General features: G+C 39.3%; 1 protein-coding gene and 1 long non-coding RNA gene across 3 annotated transcripts in view, besides 1 other annotated feature; one reads left to right on the forward strand and one right to left on the reverse strand.

Moving 5' to 3' along the window:
* Window positions 1-5,415, forward strand: part of PLBD1-AS1 (PLBD1 antisense RNA 1) — a 52,024-nt gene extending 46,609 nt beyond the window's left edge. Inside the window, exons 4-6 of the long non-coding RNA NR_120465.1 lie at window positions 182-230; window positions 4,812-5,033; window positions 5,398-5,415. This is a non-coding gene — a long non-coding RNA (PLBD1 antisense RNA 1). The remainder of the gene's footprint in view (window positions 1-181; window positions 231-4,811; window positions 5,034-5,397) is intronic.
* The window catches only part of GUCY2C (guanylate cyclase 2C), an 83,968-nt gene that overhangs the window by 1,709 nt on the left and 60,482 nt on the right, over window positions 1-21,777 (reverse strand). For both annotated transcript variants that reach the window (XM_011520631.3, NM_004963.4), the window contains exons 20-26: window positions 14,306-14,397; window positions 11,417-11,575; window positions 7,665-7,857; window positions 6,702-6,876; window positions 4,871-4,969; window positions 2,293-2,387; window positions 527-603 (exon numbers count right to left, since the gene is read on the reverse strand). In XM_011520631.3, the coding sequence (XP_011518933.1) occupies window positions 527-603; window positions 2,293-2,387; window positions 4,871-4,969; window positions 6,702-6,876; window positions 7,665-7,857; window positions 11,417-11,575; window positions 14,306-14,397 (890 nt within the window). The remainder of the gene's footprint in view (window positions 1-526; window positions 604-2,292; window positions 2,388-4,870; window positions 4,970-6,701; window positions 6,877-7,664; window positions 7,858-11,416; window positions 11,576-14,305; window positions 14,398-21,777) is intronic.
* Window positions 511-560: a silencer, noted in NCBI's record as "silent region_4275". NCBI's record gives its function as "represses an Ori minimal core promoter by ATAC-STARR-seq in GM12878 lymphoblastoid cells {active_cell/tissue: GM12878}" and the evidence as "EXISTENCE:reporter gene assay evidence [ECO:0000049][PMID:35858748]".

A 21,777-nucleotide genomic window follows, 5' to 3' on the forward strand; every position in this document is an offset into this window, starting at 1 on the left:
TATAGTATATTTTCTGCATAAACTATAAGTTAAGTATACTTTAATGCAGATAAGGCATTTAAAACATAATTTTGACAGTTAAAAATATCATGAATACAGAGCCAGTAAATAAAATGAAATAAATGAAATAACAAAATCTCCTCAAGTTCTAAATAGTCTGTTCATTCTTCCTCTTTTCCAGGTGGAAGCTCCCTCTTGGGATAAAGGATCCACAGTGGAAAAAAAAAAAGGTAGTTTTATACTGAGCCCCCACATCTGATTCAGGGAAGCAAGTCTGTGTTCCAGACAGGGAAGCCAAGGCTAAATACTTTTCTGTTTCATTGAGGTCTCAGGAAAATGCAGGGTTTCAGGATAATCCCCTTCTTGCAGTCTAGGAAGGGAGGTTTCTAAACCTTCTCATGTATAGTCCCTTACTTCTTATGCAATATATGCCACTTGTAAGGCATTTGCCAATTTAAATTGGCTGTAACTAACAAAGCCAAGATCTCTAATTTCCTCCCTGTCCCTGCCACACCCAGAAGCTTACACAGTAGGAGGGGTTGGCAGGTTGAATTTCTGGTCCTTCATCCCAGTCAGCCAGTAGGTAGTCTCATTTCCTCTTCCCTGGTAAGACAAAAGAGTTACGTACCACGGAGTCCAAGGAGTCAGTTCAGTTGTAGACCACTGTTTCCATAATGATCTGTTTCTGTGACATGTTTCACTTCCGCATTTCTCATCAGTGCCAATATTTAAGCACATCACACATTCCTGTTATGATTTGCATTATCTCTAGACAGATTTTTATTTCCAAGTGCCTTTTTAAAAATAAGTTTCTCATTCAGCAGACATCCTTTTCTCAAAGTAGAGTTTTCTTTTTTTTCCCCAAAAGACATTTTAAAATATCACTCTAGCAACATCACAAGAACTCTAACTTAAAAAGGAAGAAAATTCATCTACAATTCTGCTACGTCAACAAATCCAACTGGTTGTCATTGTCCATATTTCCTTCTAGCCCTTTTTGCAATAAAGTTTTGCTACAAAACTTTTGCTACAGTTTCCCTATCTTATTACAAACACATGTACATCACAATTAAGAACTCATTAAGTGGCATTTCTGGGGCCCATCTGGAGGCTACGGAATGTATGGAAATTTACTGGAATACTGGAAACCCTGTTTTTGCTAAAGCTGGTATTTGAAAAAGAGATACAAAATACATATGGCCCAAACACAGCCAGTGAACCACTATTTTTAAAAAATGAGTTTAATAATATATATCTATAATATATATCAATAATTTAAAAATGAGTGATTGATATATATATATATATAATTGATATATATTGTTAAACTCATTTAAAAAAGTAGTGGTTCACTGGCTGTGTTTGGACCATAGCAATCCATAAACTGGTTCTATTTTGGGGTAAGTGTTCTTTGTAAAAAATGTACTTATGGAGGACTCAAAAAGCAAGTGTGATGTTAGGACACTTTTACGTAAAAGGAGACTTTTCCAAGGTGCAATCCAAATGTAAAGGCCAGAAGCATTATGGCTACCGGAGACAGGTAACTTACAGTTAATAGCTGGCTTTGCCAGTTGTGAAAAGATTCCAATAACTTTGGAAAAGCAGCCTGAGAAGCATTTGGAGACAACTGATGGCTATGGAGGGCAGCTGTTTTAAATGTGAGGAACTGCATGAAGAATCTGGAATAGCGATTCTCAAATATTAGTGTGGTCACAAACACATTATCTTGTTAAAAATATAGATTTCTGATCTACGCCCACAGAGAATCTTGCATAGTAGGCCTGGTAGAGTGTCCACACATCTGCATTTTAACAAGCTTCCAGATGAGGAAGAGGAGGAGAATGGGGCCACACCTTGTCATTCACTCCTTGTGATTCTAGAGCTTCCGAATAGTAAAGCAACTGGCAAGAGAGGTGACCTCAGATCATAGCAGCAGTGTGTAGTAAGAGTAGGGAAGTAAGTGGGGGGACAAGGGTTTTGATTCAAATTAAATAAGTCCTGGACCAGACTGTATGTAGCTCTTGTGTTTGGAGGAGGAACTGGATACAAAACCTGGATATGGCAGAGGAAATGCTGGCAGAGTTCAAAATCTCAAAAGGGCTCTTTGGAGTAAAGGCAAGTTTTGAGTTCACATTTTTTGGTGGTCATTTCTCTTGCAGAGGATGGAGGGTGCTCATCGTGATGAGTACAGAAGAGGATTAGCATGCTCAACTTTCCTGGCCAAGTCTCAAAGGAGGTGGCCCAAGCGTGTCTGAGAGCTTTTCCTATGCATTGTCTCTGTGGACTCCTTACCTTTAAGTATGTTTCTCCTCTCACTTCATAAAGGAACTGGCACTCAGTTCTCTTCAGGATGGCTATGGTGGAGCCACTCACGTGAATTCTCAAAGCTGGAAATGCAAATTGACAAATAAAAATCCCAGCTAGTACACAGCCTATTTGTTTCCCGTTGATTCAGGATATCAACAACACCTGAGACAAGAATCCTAAATCAAGAAGAAACAATTGTGGCTATTTTAATGAAAGAACACTTAAAAATAACATCAGAGAGATAAGAAATGGTATAGTTTGGATATTTGTCCCCACCCAAATCTCATGTTGAATTTTAATCCCCAGTGCTGGAGTCCTGGCCCCCGACCAGGTGTCTGGGTCACAGGGGTGGATCCCTCATGGCTTGGTGCTGTCTTTGCGATACTGAGTTGTCACAAGATCTGGTCATTTAAAAAGGTGTGGCACCTGCCCCTGCCACTCTCTTTCTTACTCCTGCTTTTGCTGTATGAAGTGCCTGCTCCTGCTTTGTCTTCTGCCATGAGTGAAAGCTTCCTGAGGCCTCCCCAGAAGCAGATGCAGGTGCTATTCTTCCCTTACAGCCTGCAGAACCATGAGCCAATTAAACCTCTTTTCTTATAAATAACCCAGTCTCAGGTTTTTCTTTATAGCAATGCAAGAATGCCCTCACACAAGAAATATAATCTCACGTGGGAAGAAAGAAGGCCTGGCATCAGTTTTCAGGGCCCTGCGTGATGTGATGGGGATCCCTAGGTTTTTCTCCATAGATTCTCATTCCAGCTCAGAGTAGTAGCCTGCGGGACCTAGTTTTAGATTTGGCTTGTAGTGCCAAGCTTGGGTGTTGGAGTTTGGTTTTGGGTCCCTGTGGAAAAGTTCCAATAAATAGCTAAAGCCTTGTGGGCAAGGTGAAGATTCGGGAGAGTTGAGGGGTCTTGATTTTCTCAAATTTCCTTCTTCTGGAACATTGTTATCCTTTGACAAAAGAAGTGGTGAGGGCACGCCCATTCACAAGTCCATTGATGTGTATCACCTTTCCCAATATAGGGGCCTAATAGCAATACCACAAACAATTACACAGTAAGAATAATGACAATCCCAAATTGTATACCTACCATGTACCATGATTGCTAAACGCTTAACATGACATCATCCCAAATTATTTCAGAAACCCTCTTGGCACGGTTGGTATTCCATTTTCAATTTGTATCTTTATCTTTCTGAGGGCTAGAAGGATCAGGTAGCTTTCTACTCAACTTATACTGAGAATGATTAACATAATTTCAATTGTAACCCAAGTCTGTCTGACCCCAACCTTATCCTTTTCCTTGCCAGCATGATTTGCCAGGACAAACTAGTATCACATTGTCAGTACACTACCAAAATACCATCCTGCCTCCTGTGGTTTCGTAAGCCCCAGCCATGTCTCCCAGTGCTTATTTTCTCTCTTCTATATATTTCTACTGCTACCACTGTCATCAATATTTATTGAGCATCTACTTCATGCAGCACATTGTGCCTCTACCTTGCCAAGCAAATGCAATATATTCCTTCGTATATAACAAATGCTTAGATTTTTCTTTACTAAAATCAATTCTTGGTTGGGTATGATGGCTCTTGCCTGTAATTCCAACACTTTGGGGCTTTGGGGGACCAAGGCAGGAGACTTGCTTGAGCCCAGGAATCTGTGACCAGCCTAGACAACATAGAGAGACCACACCTCTACAGAAAAAATTAAAAAATTAGCTGTGCATGGTGGCATGCCTGTAGTCCCAGCTACTTAGGAGGCTGAGGTGGGAGGATCACTAGAGCTGAGGAGTTCAAGGATGCAGTGAGCTGTGATTGTGCCACTGTGCCAAAGCCTAGGCGACAGAGTGAGACCCCATCTCAAACAAATAAACAAAAATCAATTTCCAGAAAAAACGAATATGCTTTGGGAGGCCAAGGTGGAAGGACTCCTTGAGGTCAGGAGTTTGAGACCAGCCTGGGCAACATAGTGAGACCCAGTCTCTATTAAAAATTTAAAAATTATCTGGATGTGCTGGTATGTTCCTGTAGTCCCAGGTACTTGGGAGGATGAGGTGGGAGGATCACTTGAGCCCAGGAGTTCAAGTTTACAGGGAGCTATGATCGTGTCACTGCACTCCAGCCTGGGTGACAGAACGAGAGCCTGTCTCTAAAAAACAACAACAAAAAAGCAAAACCAAATAAGAGGGAAACAGGAATGTGAACCAGAGTGTGTAGTTCTTACCTTGCCTACTGATTTTTTTTTAACTTTCATGAATCTATGGTAAATGCCAGGACTATTCTAAGTAGAATATCCCCAGATTCATTGTATATGAGCCAAAAATATAGAAATAGTCTAAAACTGAGCAAAAGTGGAAGAATAAAATAATTATCAGTAAACAACAATGAAAGCAAATGTAGCAAAAGGTGGATTGACACGGGTTTGTGTTCAGCTAATGTGAAGAATTATTCTACATCTCACTGGCACTTTGTATCTCCTTATTGTGCATTTTATCTCACAGTTGCCCTCTGCTGGAAAACAGCATCTTTGTCCTCTGAGAAAAACAGTCTCCCTTCTTACGGAGGCCAGTGGATTCCATCCTAGAGGCTGTGTTGACCGTATCTCCAAATAGACAATAACGAGGCATCTTGATTCCCACAACTCCAGCAGCACAGGGACCTGAAATGAAGGACAGAAAGCAGGAAGTGGAGGCAATAGAAATTGCAGAGTAGAGTGAAGACAGGTAAGCCTCTCTGTATGGTCACAATCCTGAATACTTCCTGTCATGGAGAAGTAGCTGAGGATGTGAAATGTGAGCTGGGACTTTTGGTTTAAATGGATGAATCCAATGAAGCATCATTATTCAATGCATGCGATCATAAAGTATTTTGCTCTCGCAAAGAAAACGACATTTGTAGCAAATAGGAAGGCATTCAGAGATCCAGATCACAAAGGTGATTTTAAATAGAAGGCTCTCAGGAAGGATGAAGATGAGCCCCACTGCTTGCTTACTGTGCCAAACCACACAACCCTGAATTTCACACTGCTGGAGGGCACTGTAGATTTGAAGCTTCAATGGCTCAAGTTTGTTTTATTTTTATTTTAAGGTGGCATTTCTGGGATTGGTGCCATGACAATGGAAGACAGAAGACAAGACAAAGGCATAACTTTCCGTAAGCATTTCATGGACCAGGCGAATGCAGCTGGATGGGGAAGCCTGTGGCACAAGGAGGTTCCAACAAGCAGAACAAAAGCCCAGGCTAGACTATGCGCTGTGGCATATTAGGTAGGAAATAAGGGTTATTCAGTCATGTATTTGCATAGAATGACTGAGTGCAAGGTGTTAACAGTTTCAGAAGTTAAAGATTAACTCAAAAACTGCAAAGCTGAGTTTTAAGCAATGCCTGGCTAAAGATTCATCTAGATGACTTCTGAGTTCCTCTCTTACAGGTGTTTTTTCTATAACACCTGTAACTCATCTCAAACCTTGATGTTCAAGGCTGTTGAATTAAACTAAGTTTGGCCTGAGGCTGCCTCTTAGGGGTCCCTACAAAACAAACTGCAACCTAGCTTGGTACATAAACAAACTAAAAGCCTAACTAGGGTATACTTACGTTATAGATAGCTGAGTCTCAGCCAATCGCAGTAGCTGAGCTTCAGCCAGTCACAGGCTGTCAACTGATGGGACTTTGACCAAATCAGGGGAACACAGAGGTTTGACCAATCAAGTTGTTTCTGTCCCTCACTTCTGTTTTCTGTCTATAAACATTGCCCGCCCACCTTGCCCATTGAAGCTCTCTGAACCTCTTCTGGTTTTAAGGGCCATCTGATTTGAAAATTATTCTTTGCTCAATCAAACTGTGTTAAATTTAATATGCATAAGCTTTTCTTTTAACAAGGCTATGTAACTTTCATGGTCTTTGAAAGTGACTCATGTACTTTCTGTATAACTGCAGTGGCAGGGAAGGGAGGGGGTATAAATATTATAGAAATTTCACCATCTGTTCTTTATTTCCCCTTGTAGATAATCTAATCCACTTAAGATACTATAATATTTTAGTGGGAAAATATATTGAAGTTGGGGGTGGGGAGAAAGGGAATGGGGAGGAAATAAATGAAATCATAGGTATGGTGATTTAAATAGGAGTCCAAAGCTTCTTGTTTTCGTACATGTTTGGTGTTTATCATGTCAGCAGTCAGTGGTGCCCTCAAAGGTCTTGTTCTTAGAGTTCTCTAGGAACTGGGTCTAAATATCTCAGGATGCATAGTGGGACCTCACATTTGGCAAAAAGAATTAAGAGTAAAAATTATGTGAGGTCGATCACACTTGAAGACCTTTTATCCTTTCTGATTTAGTTGGTGCACAGCAGTACATATGGTTCCCAATTTGCTAAGATGCTCAACTCCATACCAGAGTGAACTCCAATGCGAATCCATATTGGGAGGCCAGGAAGATGCTCCAGCTCAAAGGTCCCCATGAAGCTGAGGATTTCCAAGGCCATCTTGGCAATGTCTATTGCATGCCGATTGCCATTTCTCTTAGGCAAACCACTAGCCACCATGTACGCATCACCGATGGTTTCCACCTGTGGAAACAGTTTCTCATGAGTGCCTCTGCCCCTTTGAAAAGTATAGAAAGTAAACAGAAGCAGTTAATCACATGTCAAACACAAAAAGTGATTTGGGAACACAGTATGAGCATAGCCCTTTACACTTTTTCTGGGGCCAGTTGGATCAGTTCTATGCTGATTTCTTCAGGGTTTTTATAGTCCAGTTAATGGGTGATAAAATAGCTATAAAGGAATTTAGCCATTTAAAAGTACTTCATAATTATATAAATTGTCCAGATGTGGTGACAGTTCTAGAAATGTTCAAATAAATAATCTGAATGGTTTTATGTAATTTGAGGAACACCCTTAGTTTCCTGAAAATTAATCCTTTAGCAAATGTCAACATACTATTTAACAGAATATTGTACTTTGTAATATGTAATTGTATACATTCTTGTAGTATGATTTTCTATTTATTATAACCCCAGTGTCTTCTCTGCTTCATTTGCAGTCAGCCTAAACACTGCCCATTTTTTGGAGGTGATTTAAGAGTATGCCATTTTGTCTAAATTTAATACTTCAAATTAATTCCTGCTGAACTTCCTGTTGTATCTTTTTTGCTGCTTCTTAAAGTTGAATGGTAATTTTGACTTCTCACTCCTCTAATCCTTCTACTTCTCTTCACTTTTAGCTCAGATTCAACCACCAATTCACTAAATGTGAAACTAGAGCGGTCAAGAGTAGTAACAGAAACAACCAATTCAGGCTCTGATGACCTTGAGTTGTACAATTAATGGTTTCAGCCTGTTAGGTGATGTGGTTACCTTGTAGACATCATGATGATCAACAATGTGGTCAAAACTCTTATAGATGTCATTAAGCATGTCCACCACTTCCATGGGGGTGCTGTATTTGCAGATAGTAGTGAAACCTACAATGTCACTGAAGTAGATTGTAACTTCCTCATATAGTTCCGGCTCCACAAAGCCTTTCTCCTTCAGAGACTTTACCACTAGCCTAGATGAACGAAGGGAAAAAAAATGCCTTCAACTTCAGCAAATTTCTTCTTGTTTCACATAAATCTTTCAGGTAGTAGTGATTGTCTACCAAGAATTCTAGAATTTGAGACTTCCAGTGAATTGAGTGAATCGGAAACAGAGGTTGTGTATATCATATACATGAACATATTACACAAATACACATATAATGCATGTTGTGAACACAGATGAATACAAGCAGGTTCAACATTAACTTAGTGTTTGATTATTAATCCTAATACACATAAATAGATAACTTTAATATCCTCAAAACTCTCATACATATACATACTTGTCCACTTTTTGCTTCTCTATTGATAATCAACCTCTTACAGATGTGGCTCTACATGCAGAAGCTGAGGAGAGTGTGGTATTACTTAAATCACCACAGGTATCAGATCTGAATTTCTCAACAAAGTTGATAGTTTTACTTTCCTGGCATATGTAATATGGCATTGCTTAATATTACTATGAAATAATGATGCATTTAAATATAAATTTTGATATATTCTGAACCAGAGTTCATTTGATATTTTGAACCAGATTTGGGTCCTTTGTAAAGCAGAATCAATCATGTAAATAAATTAAATCATGCTAAAACTGTAGAAGTCAAATTAAAGCAACTTTTAGAATATCTTTGCTGAATGAGGAGCAGCATATCAGATTCAAGATTGAAGGAAGAGAACCAGAAGAAGGGACTCCATACTTGGTGTGCCAAGTTACCTCTTCATTGAGAAAAGGAAGTGAGGGCTGACATGAAGTGGGATGGTCCCTGTCTGTCCTTGGCATCACTTTGTAGTGGCCCTCAGTATGGAACCACTAGAATCAGAAACTGGAAGCTGGGAGGTTCCACGGAAGTCATTGAAAAGAAATCTTTATTTTTACAGATGAGAAAGTTGAGGTCTAAAAAAGTATGACTTCCCTAAGTTCCCACAGCCGATTAGGGACAGAGCCAGGGCTAGAATTCAGGAAGCCTTCAGTCCCACCCATCAGTCTTTTTTTGCATTACACTCCCTGCACAACCCAGGCCTTGGATATTCAGGAAGATGGGGAAGATTTGGAGGTATGCTGACTGCAACAAAGGAGGTGGGCTCTCCCGGAAAGAAAACAACCAATCAACCACAAAGATTTCTAACACTCATTTGGAGAACCTCCAGAGTATCCGGAGAAACCTTTTTAATTGGTGCAATGACAAAACTTGGAACCTTTGAAAAACATTCCTTTGGTGTGGCTTGGATTCCTAGGTACACGACTGGAGTGGTTGTTCTTGACATGCCCTGTATAAAGTGCATAGTATTTTGGAGGCTGCATAGATGCAATGACAAAATTGGATATTCTGCCATATTTGCAATTCATTGTACTGCTTATATCTGAAAAGTCACATGAGTTTGGTGATATGGTTTGGCTCCGTGTCCCCACCCAAATCTCATGCTGAATTGTAATCCCCAATGTTAAGGGAGGGACCTGGTGGGAGGTGATGGGATCATGGGTGCAGATTTCCCCATTGCTGTTCCTGTGTTAGTGAGTTCTCATGAGATCTAGTTGTTTGAACGTGTGTGGCACCTCCCCCTTTGCTCTCTCTCTCTCTTCCTGCCATGCGAAGAAGGTGCTTGCTTCCCCTTCACTCTTCCACCATGGTTGTACATTTCCTGAGGCCTCCCCAGCCATGCTTCTTGAACACCCTGTGGAACTGTGAGTTATTTAAACCTCCTTTCCTCATAAATTACCTAGTCTCGGGTAGTTCTTTATAATAGGGTGAGAATGGACTATTACACTTGGAAAATAGTGTGTTATCCAGAGAGAGAAACTCATGTTGTAAATAAACGAAGGAAGGGCTGGGAGTTAACATGATGAGCTTTGATAACAGGTTGTTGCTGACATAGATAAAATTAGTATACAGAGTAGATCTCTTAGAAAGTCTTCCCAGAAGAAAAAACTTCTGGCCAGGCACAGTGGCTCACACCTGTAATCCCAGCACTTTGGGAGGCCGAGGTGGGTGAATCACCTGAGGTCAGGAGTTCGAGACCAGTCTGGCCAACATGGTGAAACCCCCTCTCTACTAAAAATGCAAAAATTAGCTGGGTGTGGTGGCAGGCGCCTGTAATCCCAGCTACTTGGGAGGCTGAGGCAGGAGAATTGCTTGAACCCAGGAGGCAGAGGTTGCAGTGAGCTGAGCTCATGTCGTTGCACTCCAGCCTGGGCAACAAGAGTGAAACTCCATCTCAAAAATAAATAAATTAATTAATTAAATAAAATAAAAATAAAAAAGAAGAAACTTCTATTTTAATGTATTTACCCCAAGGGGTACTATTCAAATAAATGTCTAAGTGATATCTGGTTCCTACATGCAATCTTAAGTTTATTTGCCCTTTGCTACACATATTTCTTTTTGATTCTTCTAGTTATTGCTCATGCATGTTTTAGTTTTATCTTGCGCATAAAATTTTTACATAAATAACCAAAGTGAGTTGTGCTGAAGCCATGGTGTATTGTAGCTCTTCAAGAGACTTGTGTGATATAACCTTTGGAAATCCAATAAAAACATCTACCAACTAGTAGTCCAAGTGGCATATTGAACTAAGGCTAGGAAAAAAGCTGAAATGGTGAGCCAGCTGATTCAAACCACTTGAGTGACATTAATGGTTAAAACCACCGCCAATGAAACCCTGGGAAGGCAGCCAGATAACCAGGATATTGTTTTTGTCACAACTCAGCATTAAAGATCAGGCAAGGAGTTATGCATTATGTACCTAATATTTATGGAGCTGTGATAGAAATTATCATCCTTGAAGTGAATATGAAGGGTTCCCTACTGTTCCCAGGCACTCTGAGGGCTCATGGGTTCTGCCCTTCTATCACAAGGTTGCAAGACACCACTTGCCAAATGTGTTCCAACTCCTTTCCCCCAAGCTGTGATCCGCCTCCTAGTTTTCTTGCAGGTGATTTGACTTTCAGAGGTTTGAGATTTTGAGGTCAGAGTTACTAAAGGAGATCAGGGGCTCCAGCTCGGGCTTCTTGGGTAGAATCCCAGCTCTGCCATTCACTGGGTGACCTTCAGAACATTACTTAGTAGAGTACAAACTGGAACAAGGCTTAGCAAAGTACATGCATTTTTTTTTTTTTTTTTTGAGACGGAGTCTTGCTCTGTCACCCAGGCTGGAGTGCAGTGGCGCGATCTTGGCTCACTGCAACCTCCGCATCTTGGGTTCACTCCATTCTCCTGCCTCAGCCTCCCGAGTAGCTGGGACTAAAGGTGCGCGCCACCACACCTGGCTAATTTTTTTTATTATTATTTTTAGTAGAGGTGGGGTTTCACCATGTTAGCCAGGATGGTCTTGATCTCCTGACCTCATGATCCACCTGCCTCAGCCTCTCAAAGTGCTAGGATTACAGGCGTGAGCCTCCGTGCCTGGCAGTACGTGCATTTTAAAACCAATAATCTACTGAAGAATATATAAAAGGAAACAAATCCTATATAGATACAATGAAAAGCAATGCTAGAGGGATTTCAGCCTCCACATCAGCAAGGCTTGCCTTACCTTGGAAGCAACATAAAGTTAAGTCTGTCAGCCCTGTCCCTCTCTGCCTTGTACAGCTGTGTCCTTTCCTCTACCAGATGTTCCAGGTTTCGAGAATATAGCTGTAGACGTCGGATCAAGGTATCCATATAGCTTTCATTTTTTTGGTCATGAAAAAGTCTGTAGGTAGTAATAGATAAAGAGCTCTTATATATTATTAAGAAAACATGAACATCCAATAAAACAATGGACAAATATGATGAACAGATAATTAAACAAAGAAAAATAAAAGCCAACAAACATAACAAAAAAACTCAACCTCATCCGGGCACAGTGGCTCATGCCTGTAATCCCAGAACTTTGGGAGTCCGAGGCGGGAGGATCACTTGAGGTCAGGAGTTTGAGACCAGCCTGACCAACATGGTGAAACCCTTTCTCTACTAGAAATACAGAAATTAGCCGGGCATGGTGGCACTACTCCAGAGGCCGAGGCAGGAGAATTGCTTGACTGGGAGGTGGAGGTTGCAGTGAGTCGAGATCATGCCACTGCACTCCAGCCTGGGTGACAGAGTGAGACTCTGTCTTAAACAAACAAACAAACAAAAAGCCCAACTTAACCTCAGGACAAGAATAAGATTAAAAAAGGGAAAACAAATGTTAAAATGATGGTAATCAACGTAGGAGAAGGAGGAAATACATATAGTACAAAACCTTCCTGAAGAGCAATTTGGTAAAAATATGTCACAAGCTTTAAGAATGCATATACCAATCAGCTTATAACTCTACTTCTGAGAATTATCCTAAGGAAACAATCATGAATGTGTTTAGAGTTAACAACAGAAAAAGTCACAGTATTCTTTACAACAGCAAACATTTGAAAATAATCTAAATGTATAACAAAAGTGTGGTTAAAATATGATGGGACAATGGAACATTAACATTCTAATTTGTATCATAAAATACAAATTAGTATAGTTGAATACTCAGAAAGACACTCCCTCTGTATTATTAAGCGAAAAAGTCAGTTTATAAAATAGCAAAAATTATAATCTCAATTTTATTTTTTGAAGACTGGTGGTCACCTATTGGGAAACAGGTGACGTTTTACTTTCTTGCTTTCTTATTTGTATTTTCTAAAATACAAAAGAAACAATTTGCAATGAAGGAAAATCTTTTAAAAGCTGGTCAAGAAAGTGATAAATGAAAGGAGAAGGACTGAGAAAAGCCAAGCTGAGCCTTAAATTATCTCCTCATTACAGAGAGCCAGGGTCCTAACTCTGGATTATTTTGTCAGATCAAGGAGACTTAGTGAGATGACAGCTTTGTGTGACACTGGGAGGTATGACAAGCCTTGGTGCAGAGGTCAGGGAGGAGACACATTGAGTTCTCCTAGCATTGTGAGGATCAGAGATAATGTTCATAACATCTAAGGCACAATTGAAGGTGCTGAATAAATCACAGTCATTTTACTATTACAAGAATAACAATCACTTCTGGTCTCAGGAGAAGATGGCCTGCATCATCATCCCCTGGGATGGGGAGAGATGTTTGTTAAAAATCCAGTACATTTTTGTGCCCTACCCGAGACCTATGTGACTGAAAATTGCTAGGCTTGGAATGAAGAAACAGAATTGTTTAACAAGTTCCCCAGGGAATTTTTACTTGAAACTGCCAGTACAGAGTCTAGTTGGGTAGAATGGATGTGGGAGCAGGTGTAAGAGATGAAGTTGGATAATCTTACTCTAGGATGAATTGATTCAATTAAAACAGTTGCTCACCTTTGACTGCATATTTTAATCACCTGGGAGCTATTAAAAATCCTGACACCTGTATGTACCCCAGACCAATTACATCAGCCTCTCTAGGGTAAAACCCCAGTATCAGTATTTTTAAAGTTCCTCAGGTGATTCCAAGCTGCAGCCAAGTTTGAGAACCATCACACACATTAAAGGCTGAGTATCAAGGACCCAGTTTCTTCATGAGCATACATTTTATCAGTCACATATAAAGTCTCATCCGGACAGGACAGCGAGGAGAAAAAAAAAGGGCTAGAATTAATTATTATTTCCTGCTCCATTCCCACAACTGACAGCTTAGTTCTACTAATTAATGACCACACGTTCATTAACTTCACTCCACCTCATCTCCTCCAGCTCTAGACTTTTAGTCTCATTAAGTATCTGAGTCTTTTGACCTAATGAGAACTACAGAAAGACCTGGAAAAAATCATAAGAATCATCTTGTTCAATCCAATTTTTCTAACAAGAAAATTGATACCCAGTGAGGGTAAGTGTTTTGCCCAATGCCCCACAGCAAACTCTTATCAGATCTTAGTCTAGAAATTGGATTTCCTAACTCTTAATTCAGTGTTATTTTTCTCATTCTGCAGTGTATTAACTGAAAACATGGGGTATCTAGAAATTAATCTCAACCAGATAATTGTGTACTTTTCTCCCCCAACTTGAATTATGCTCTGATTCATGACATGTCTTAAGTACCTAGGGCCAAAGCTGGAGATTTTAAGACTTTAAGATCCTAAGAACATGCTGATGTTAATAATTGTCTAGGAGCTTTACAGATTCTCAGGACTCACGCTACACTTCTAAATCCTAATTACCCACAGAAGGACCCAGAAGCTCTATTTTTAACAGACAAATTTATAATCAGCTAAAGTTTGTTTTTTAATCAGAAAAGTTTTGACCTTGAGTATGTAACTTTTCAAGTGATTATTTCCCTGGGAAAACGGTCTAATAGTCTCCATATCATTTTAATGTTATGAGGCAGTTGTTGGTTGCCACCTGGGATTTTTCACTGGAATAGACATTCTCATTCTAAGGTGCCACTGAATGTCAACTATAATTTTTTTAAAACCCTGCAATTAGTGAATAAAAGTAAACATTTCAGCAATACCCAAATATCTTGGCAAGTGTAGTCTCAATTTTTTTGAAATCTGGTCTCTTTTCTGGATCTTCCTCCCAACAGTTTTTTACAAGTAGGTACACCTGGAAGAAAAAAAAACGGGCAAATTAGCTAAGGGGATAGTAAACTAAATCAAGAGAGAATTCTTATTCTCATTGATGGGAGTGATTAAGGCAAGGAATAGTTTAAAAATATCTTCAACTCAGTGCGGACAAGAGATCCCCAGCTCTCTGGTTTCTGTCTCAGGCATGACCACCTGCATTATCTTATCCAGTTATTCCCTTGGGTGAAATTAATGAAATATGTGATACCAATTTAGATGAGGCCGGGTTGATACGGGAGACTAAGTGAATTTACAAGAGCTTGCAAGTTTTACGTTGGAGAGAGAAAAAAATAGTGAAGGTGTGGCAGGCCTCCATAACAACCGTTTTAGTACTGACTGAGTGGTTAAGTTAAATATTAAAAGCCAGTGCCCTTATACAAAGGCTGGAATGTAACAAAAGCCCACCAAGAGTTTTGCCTAGGCCTTTCCTGGGCCTTAAAACATGACAAAATAACGAAGGAATTCTTCTTAACCGGACCCATTTAGGATTAAACAACTTTTATTGGGGGTCTGAAGAAACTCCCCAGGCCTCCACAAAGAAGTTTATTGGGGGTCTGAAGGAACTCCCTAAACCTCTGTAATTTAGCAGGAGACAAGATAAGGGTAATCACTCCAGCACCTGGACTCACTTCGATTAAGTAAACTTACTGAGGCTCCAGGAGAAGGTCTTCAGGACTCAGACCTTAGTTGTAGATTAAAAGAAGTTAATCACGTATGTCTTTAAATGAATGCATACTTACATGTAGACATATAGCTTCGAAGGTATATAAGCTCTGAAAAAAAATGTAATTTTCAGGCCTTCTCCCTGTAACTGGTTACAGAAATAAAAACTCTCTTCCTCCTCAGTTCATCTGCATCTTGTTATTGGGCCACGAGAAATATCAGCCCAACCCTCAGTTTGGTGGGGGAACAAAGGCTCAGTGAATATGAGGCAAATGGCTCCAAATGGAATAAAAGCCGTACTGTCCATGGTTCTAACTTATAGCAAACAATAGTATCACCTGGGGAGCATCTGCACAATTTCTTATGCCCAGGCACCACCCTAAGTCATTCTGATTTAATATATTTTGAAGTGGTCTTAGTAGGGTTCCCAGATTTAGCAAGAAAAATAAAGGACATCAAGTTAAACTTGGATTTCAGATAAACAATAAGTAATTCCTTAGTATAAGTATGTCGCAAATATTGTATGGGCAAAGGGCAGTGGTAGATTTTTAAGCTCTTTGGTGATTATAATGCACAGCTGCAGTAGAGAAGTGACATGGAAAAAAGGGAGGTATGGAGGAAGAGGTAGGGAGACAGGAGGAAGCCCAACTGCTCATCTGCTACCACCTGTTTGCAGCTTTTTTTTTTTTAAATCAAAATGTGTGGTGAAAACCATTTGTTTTAAATAAACTTTGTTTTTCACTCCGGCTAAAAACAAGATCATAAGTGATACTAGATGCAATCCCTGTCCCTGTACTTTGTCTGAACAATTCCCTGGGAAGGAACTAGAGCCGCGGTATAGCCTGTGGTGCCAATATTCACCACTAGATGATGCTCCTGCCTTGGTAAGTCATCTGCTGACTACCTTAGAGCAGAATAGGCAGAAACAGCAAACTGGGCCGATCCTGTGCCACAGAGTGAAATACTGTCAGCCCTCTGTCTCCATGGGTTCTGCATTCGTGGATTCAACCAAATGGGAATGGAAAATGTTTGGAAAAAACAGGATGGTTTTGTCTGTGTTGAACATGTACCGACCTTTTTTTTCTTGTCATTATTCCCTAAACAATACAGTACCACAAATATTTACATAGTATTTACATCATGTTAGGGATTATAAGCAATCTAGAGATAATTTAAAGTACATAGGATAATGTATGCAGGTTATATGCACATGATATGCCATTTTATATCAGATCCTTGAGCCGCTGTGGATTTTGGTATCCACAGGGGTTCCTGGGACCAATTCCCTATGGATGGAGAGACGACTCTACTGGGTGTTTCTGGGGCATTGCTGAGTGATCTAGTTTCGACTCTGTATTCTGTTGGAATCAGTTACTTGACATGAAATTTTATTCCTCATTTCTAATTCCAGAACTGTCCAACTACACAAATGAATTAAAGATGATGCTGTTTTAGTGAATAAGGTTTTAATATTTGGATATACTCAGATTAGAAAAAAAGGGCTTGAGAAAGGATATGCTGATTGTGTGGAGGAATCCTGGAATTCGGAAAAGCAGGACGAAAGAAAGGAATGAGGAGAAGGCAGGGCTAGGAGCAGCTGTACTTCGGAAAGCTGTATTTCAACATACTATTACTATTGAAAAAGAAAGGGAAGGGGAGAGGTAAAAATGACCCACTCATGCCCTGCAGAGTCTGGCCATAAAACTCATCTGGCAGTGTCTTTGTAAATGGAAGGAAAATGTTTCTATTTTTATCCCACAAGGAACAAAAGATGTTTTTGTTTAAAGATTATAAATGTCTTTTTTAAAATTTTTTTTATTTTTATTATACTTTAAGTTTTAGGGTACATGTGCACAATGTGCAGGTTAGTTACATATGTATACATGTGCCATGCTGGTGTGCTGCACCAATTAACTCGTCATTTAGCATTAGGTATATCTCCTAATGCTATCCCTCCCCCCTCCCCCTACCCCATAACAGTCCCCAGAGTGTGATGTTCCCCTTCCTGTGTCCATGTGTTCTCATTGTTCAATTCCACCTATGAATGAGAACATGCGGTGTTTGGTTTTTTGTCCTTGCAATAGTTTACTGAGAATGATGATTTCCAATTTCATCCATGTCCCTACAAAGGACACGAGCTCATCATTTTTTATGGCTGCATAGTATTCCATGGTGTATATGTGCCACATTTTCTTAATCCAGTCTATCATTGTTGGACATTTGGGTTGGTTCCAAGTCTTTGCTATTGTGAATAGTGCCGCAATAAACATACGTGTGCATGTGTCTTTATAGCAGCATGATTTATAGTCCTTTGGGTATATACCCAGTAATGGGATGGCTGGGTCAAATGGTATTTCTAGTTCTAGATCCCTGAGGAATTGCCACACTGACTTCCACAATGGTTGAACTAGTTTACAGTCCCACCAACAGTGTAAAAGTGTTCCTATTTCTTCACATCCTCTCCAGCACCTGTTGTTTCCTGACTTTTTAATGATTGCCATTCTAACTGGTGTGAGATGGTATCTCATTGTGGTTTTGATTTGCATTTCTCTGATGGCCAGTGATGGTGAGCATTTTTTCATGTGTTTTTTGGCTGCATAAATGTCTTCTTTTGAGAAGTGTCTGTTTATGTCCTTCACCCACTTTTTGACAGGGTTGTTTTTTTCTTGTAAATTTGTTTGAGGTCATTGTAGATTCTGGATATTAGCCCTTTCTCAGATGAGTAGGTTGCGAAAATTTTCTCCCATTTTGTAGGTTGCCTGTTCACTCTGATGGTAGTTTCTTTTGCTGTGCAGAAGCTCTTTAGTTTAATTAGATCCCATTTGTCAATTTTGGCTTTTGTTGCCGTTGCTTTTGGTGTTTTAGACATGAAGTCCTTGCCCATGCCTATGTCCTGAATGGTAATGCCTAGGTTTTCTTCTAGGGTTTTTATGGTTTTAGGTAAAGATCATAAATATCTTAAAATACTTTACTCACTATCTTCTTGGATTATTAAGGCTCAGGTAAAATGCTAAAAGGAAAAATAATTAGAAATTTTTCACAGGGCTTCAAGGCCTTTTTGAGGGACAATTACAAAAGCAAATGTAAAGAGCTTTTGCTCCATTTCCTTCAGAGGAAGGATAAAATGAGTGGAAGTACATTTCTCTATTCTTTTTAGATGTTGGCATATTTCCTTTTAAATCATTAGATGGTATTTATAAGTCTAGTAAGTATACCGCATGGACACCTTGTTCATTGAGCTTATAAAAATTGAGAATGACCCCTGCCTACTGAAGCCAGTGCCTGTACACACCACAGGGTGGGGACTGAAGACAGGTCTCAGGACAGGTCCACCTGGCTCACTTGCACCCTCCCAGTGCTTCAGCCTACCGTGTAGGGGCCCTAGAGATCTCCTAGCCCAGTCCACCACTGTTGGCACCTGAGTACATCTTCTGGGGGCCACATAACCTGCTGCTACCACCACAGCTGGTACCCACCAGCATATACCACTTGTGGACCTGCAGACTGGCCTGCCCAGCCTGTCACAGCCACTACCAACACCAGTGCAGACTGCTTGGGAACCAGAAGCTTGTCCTATCATGGCTACTTCCACTACTCATGCCATGCCTGCTGCCCAGGAACCCGGGAATCCACCCACCAGCCTAGGCCACTGCTGCTACTGCTGGCACCTGAGGAAGTTACTTGGAGGCCAAAGAATTGATCTGCCTAGACCCACTAACGCTGGTACCAGATAAGCTGTCCTGGGGCCCAAGGACAGCTTATGCTGGCACCAGTGCCTCCAAGGGGCCCTGAGGACCAGCCCACCTGGCATTCCAGTCTTCAACAAAACGTCACTACTGCCTCCACTAACAATGACATCCTAACCCATTAGGGAAATAACAGACCCACTCACAGATGAGTAAATTATGTAGAGACTACACTACTGCATGCACCCAGAATCAAAGCCAAAGTGCCTCACCCAACCAATACTATAGATACATCTTCAGGAAAAAAGTCCTCCCCTATGAAAGCAAATGTTAAAATTTGGAAGAAGTAATTGTTACACCAGATGCACAGATATCAACATAAAGACACAAGAAGCATGAAAAAGCAAGGAAATATGATACCTCCAAAGAAACACAGTAGTTCTGCAGCAACAATTTCCAATGAAAAGGAAATTAATAAAATTCTGGAAAAATAATTAAAAATAATATTAAAGGAGCTCAGTGAGATATGGGAGAATACAGAAAAATAATACAAAGAAATAAAAAAAATTCAGGATATGAATGAGAAATTTACCAAAGAAATAGATACCATAAAAAAGAATAAAACAAACTCTGGAACTGAAGAAGTCATTCAATAAAACACAAGATATATTGGAAAGCTTCAACAATATGCTAGATCAAGCAGAAGAATTTCAGAACTTGAAGACAGGTCTTTTGAAATAATCCAATAAGACAAAAATAAAGAAAAAAGAACAAAAATGAATGAGCAAAGCCTACATGATATAGACACCATAAAGTGGCTAAATACTTAAAATTTTTGGTGTCCCAAAAGGCGAAGAGAAAACAAAAGGAATACAAAACCCATTTAACAAAATAATAGCAAGAGATTTAGACATTCAGATACAGGAAACTCAGAGATCCCCAAATACATATAATTAAAAAAGATCTTCTCCGTGGCACATTATAGTCAAATTGTCAAAAGTTAAAGAGAAAATTCTAAAAATAGCAAGAAAAAAGCATCTGGTTACTTATAAGGAAACCCCCATCAGATTAACAGTGAATTTCTCAGCAGAAACATTACAGGCCAGGAGAAAAGGGATGAGGTAGTCAAAGTGCTGAAAGAAAAACCAAATTCCAGTTAAGGATACTATATCCAGCAAACTTATCTTTCATAAATGAAGAAGAAATAAAGGCTGTCCCAGGCAAGTGAATGCTAGGGAAATTCATCACCCCTAGACCTCCCCTACAAGAAATGCTTCAGGGCGTCCTACGCCTGGAAGTGAAAGGATGTCATCTACCACCATGAAAACACATGAAAGTATGAAACCCACTAGTAAAGCAATCACACAAAGAGGGAAGAGAAGGGTCTCAAAGGTTACCACTGCAGAAAACCACAAACCATAATGAAAAACAAGGGAAAGAAAGGAACAAAGGATGTATAAACAACCAGAAATCAATTAATCAAATGAAAGGAATAAGCCCTTACATAATAATAACTTTGAATGTAAATGGATCAAAATTTTTCACTTAAAAGATATAGACTGGTTCAATGGATTTTTAAAAATGACCCAACTGTAGGCTGCCTACAAGAAACTCATCTTATCTGTAAAGAAATATGTAGACTGAAAGTAAAGGGATGGAAAGATATTCCATGCAAATGAAAACCAAAAGCAAGCAAGAGTAGCTATACTTATATTAGGTAAAACAGACTTTAAGTAAAAAACTGTAAAAAGAGACAAAGGTCATAGGTCATTATATAATGATAAAGGACTCAATTCAGCAAGAGGATATAACAATTCTAAACATATACACACCCAACATTGAAGCATACAGACATTTAAAGCAAATACTATTAGATCTAAAGGAAGAAGTAGATTCCAATCTAATAATAGTTGGGGACTTCAACACTCCACTCTCAGCATTAAACAGATCATAAAGACAGAAAATTAACCAAGAAACATTGGATTTAAACTGCACGTTAGAACAAGTGAACCTAACATTTACAGAACATTTCATTCAATAGCTAAAGAATAAACATTCCTGTGATCAGCACATGGAACATTCTCCAGGATAGACCATATGTTACGACACAAAACCAGTCTCAACATATTTATAAAGAACCAGAATTATATCAAATATCTTCTCAGGCCACAATGGAATAAAAGTAGAACTCAATACCAGGAGGAACTTTGGAAACTACACAAATACATAAAAACTAAACAACATGCTTCTGAATAACCATTGAGTCGATAAAGAAATTAGGAGAAATTATAAAAAATTAAAACAAATGAAAATTTAAACACAGCATACCACAACTTATGGGATACAGCGAAAGTACTGCTAAGAGAGTAGTTTATAGGAATAAATGCCTGCATCAAAAAATCAGAAAAAATTCAAATCTAACAAGGCACCTCAAGGAATTAGAAAAGCAAGAATAAACCAAACCCAAAGTTCGTAGAGGGAAAGAAATAATAAAGGTCAGAGTAGAACTAGACAAAATAGAGGTTGAAAAAATAATACAAAGGATCATTGAAATAAAAAGTTGTTTTTATGAAAAGGTAAACAAAGTCAATAAACCATTAGCTAGACTAACCAAGAAAAAAATGAGAGAAGATCCAAATAAACAAAATCAGAAATTAGAAAAAGACATAAAAACCAATTGCACAAAAATGTGAAAGATTATCAGAGACTATTATGAACAACTATATACCAGCAAACTGAAAAATATAGAGGAAGTGGAGAAATTCCTGGATAAATGCAATCTACATAGATTGAATCAGAAAAAAATAGAATACCATAGAATACATGAACAGACCAACAATGAGTAATGAGACTGAATCACTAGTCTCCCAACAAAGAAAAGTCCAGAACTGGATGACTTTACTGCTGAATTATGCCAAACTTCCAAAGAAGAACTAACACTAATTCTCTTCAAACTATTCAAAAAAATTGAATAGGGAATTCTCCTTCATTCTACAAGGCCAGCAGTACCC

This window comes from Homo sapiens, chromosome 12 (assembly GCF_000001405.40).
Source record: "Homo sapiens chromosome 12, GRCh38.p14 Primary Assembly".
Classification (NCBI taxonomy): domain Eukaryota; kingdom Metazoa; phylum Chordata; class Mammalia; order Primates; family Hominidae; genus Homo; species Homo sapiens.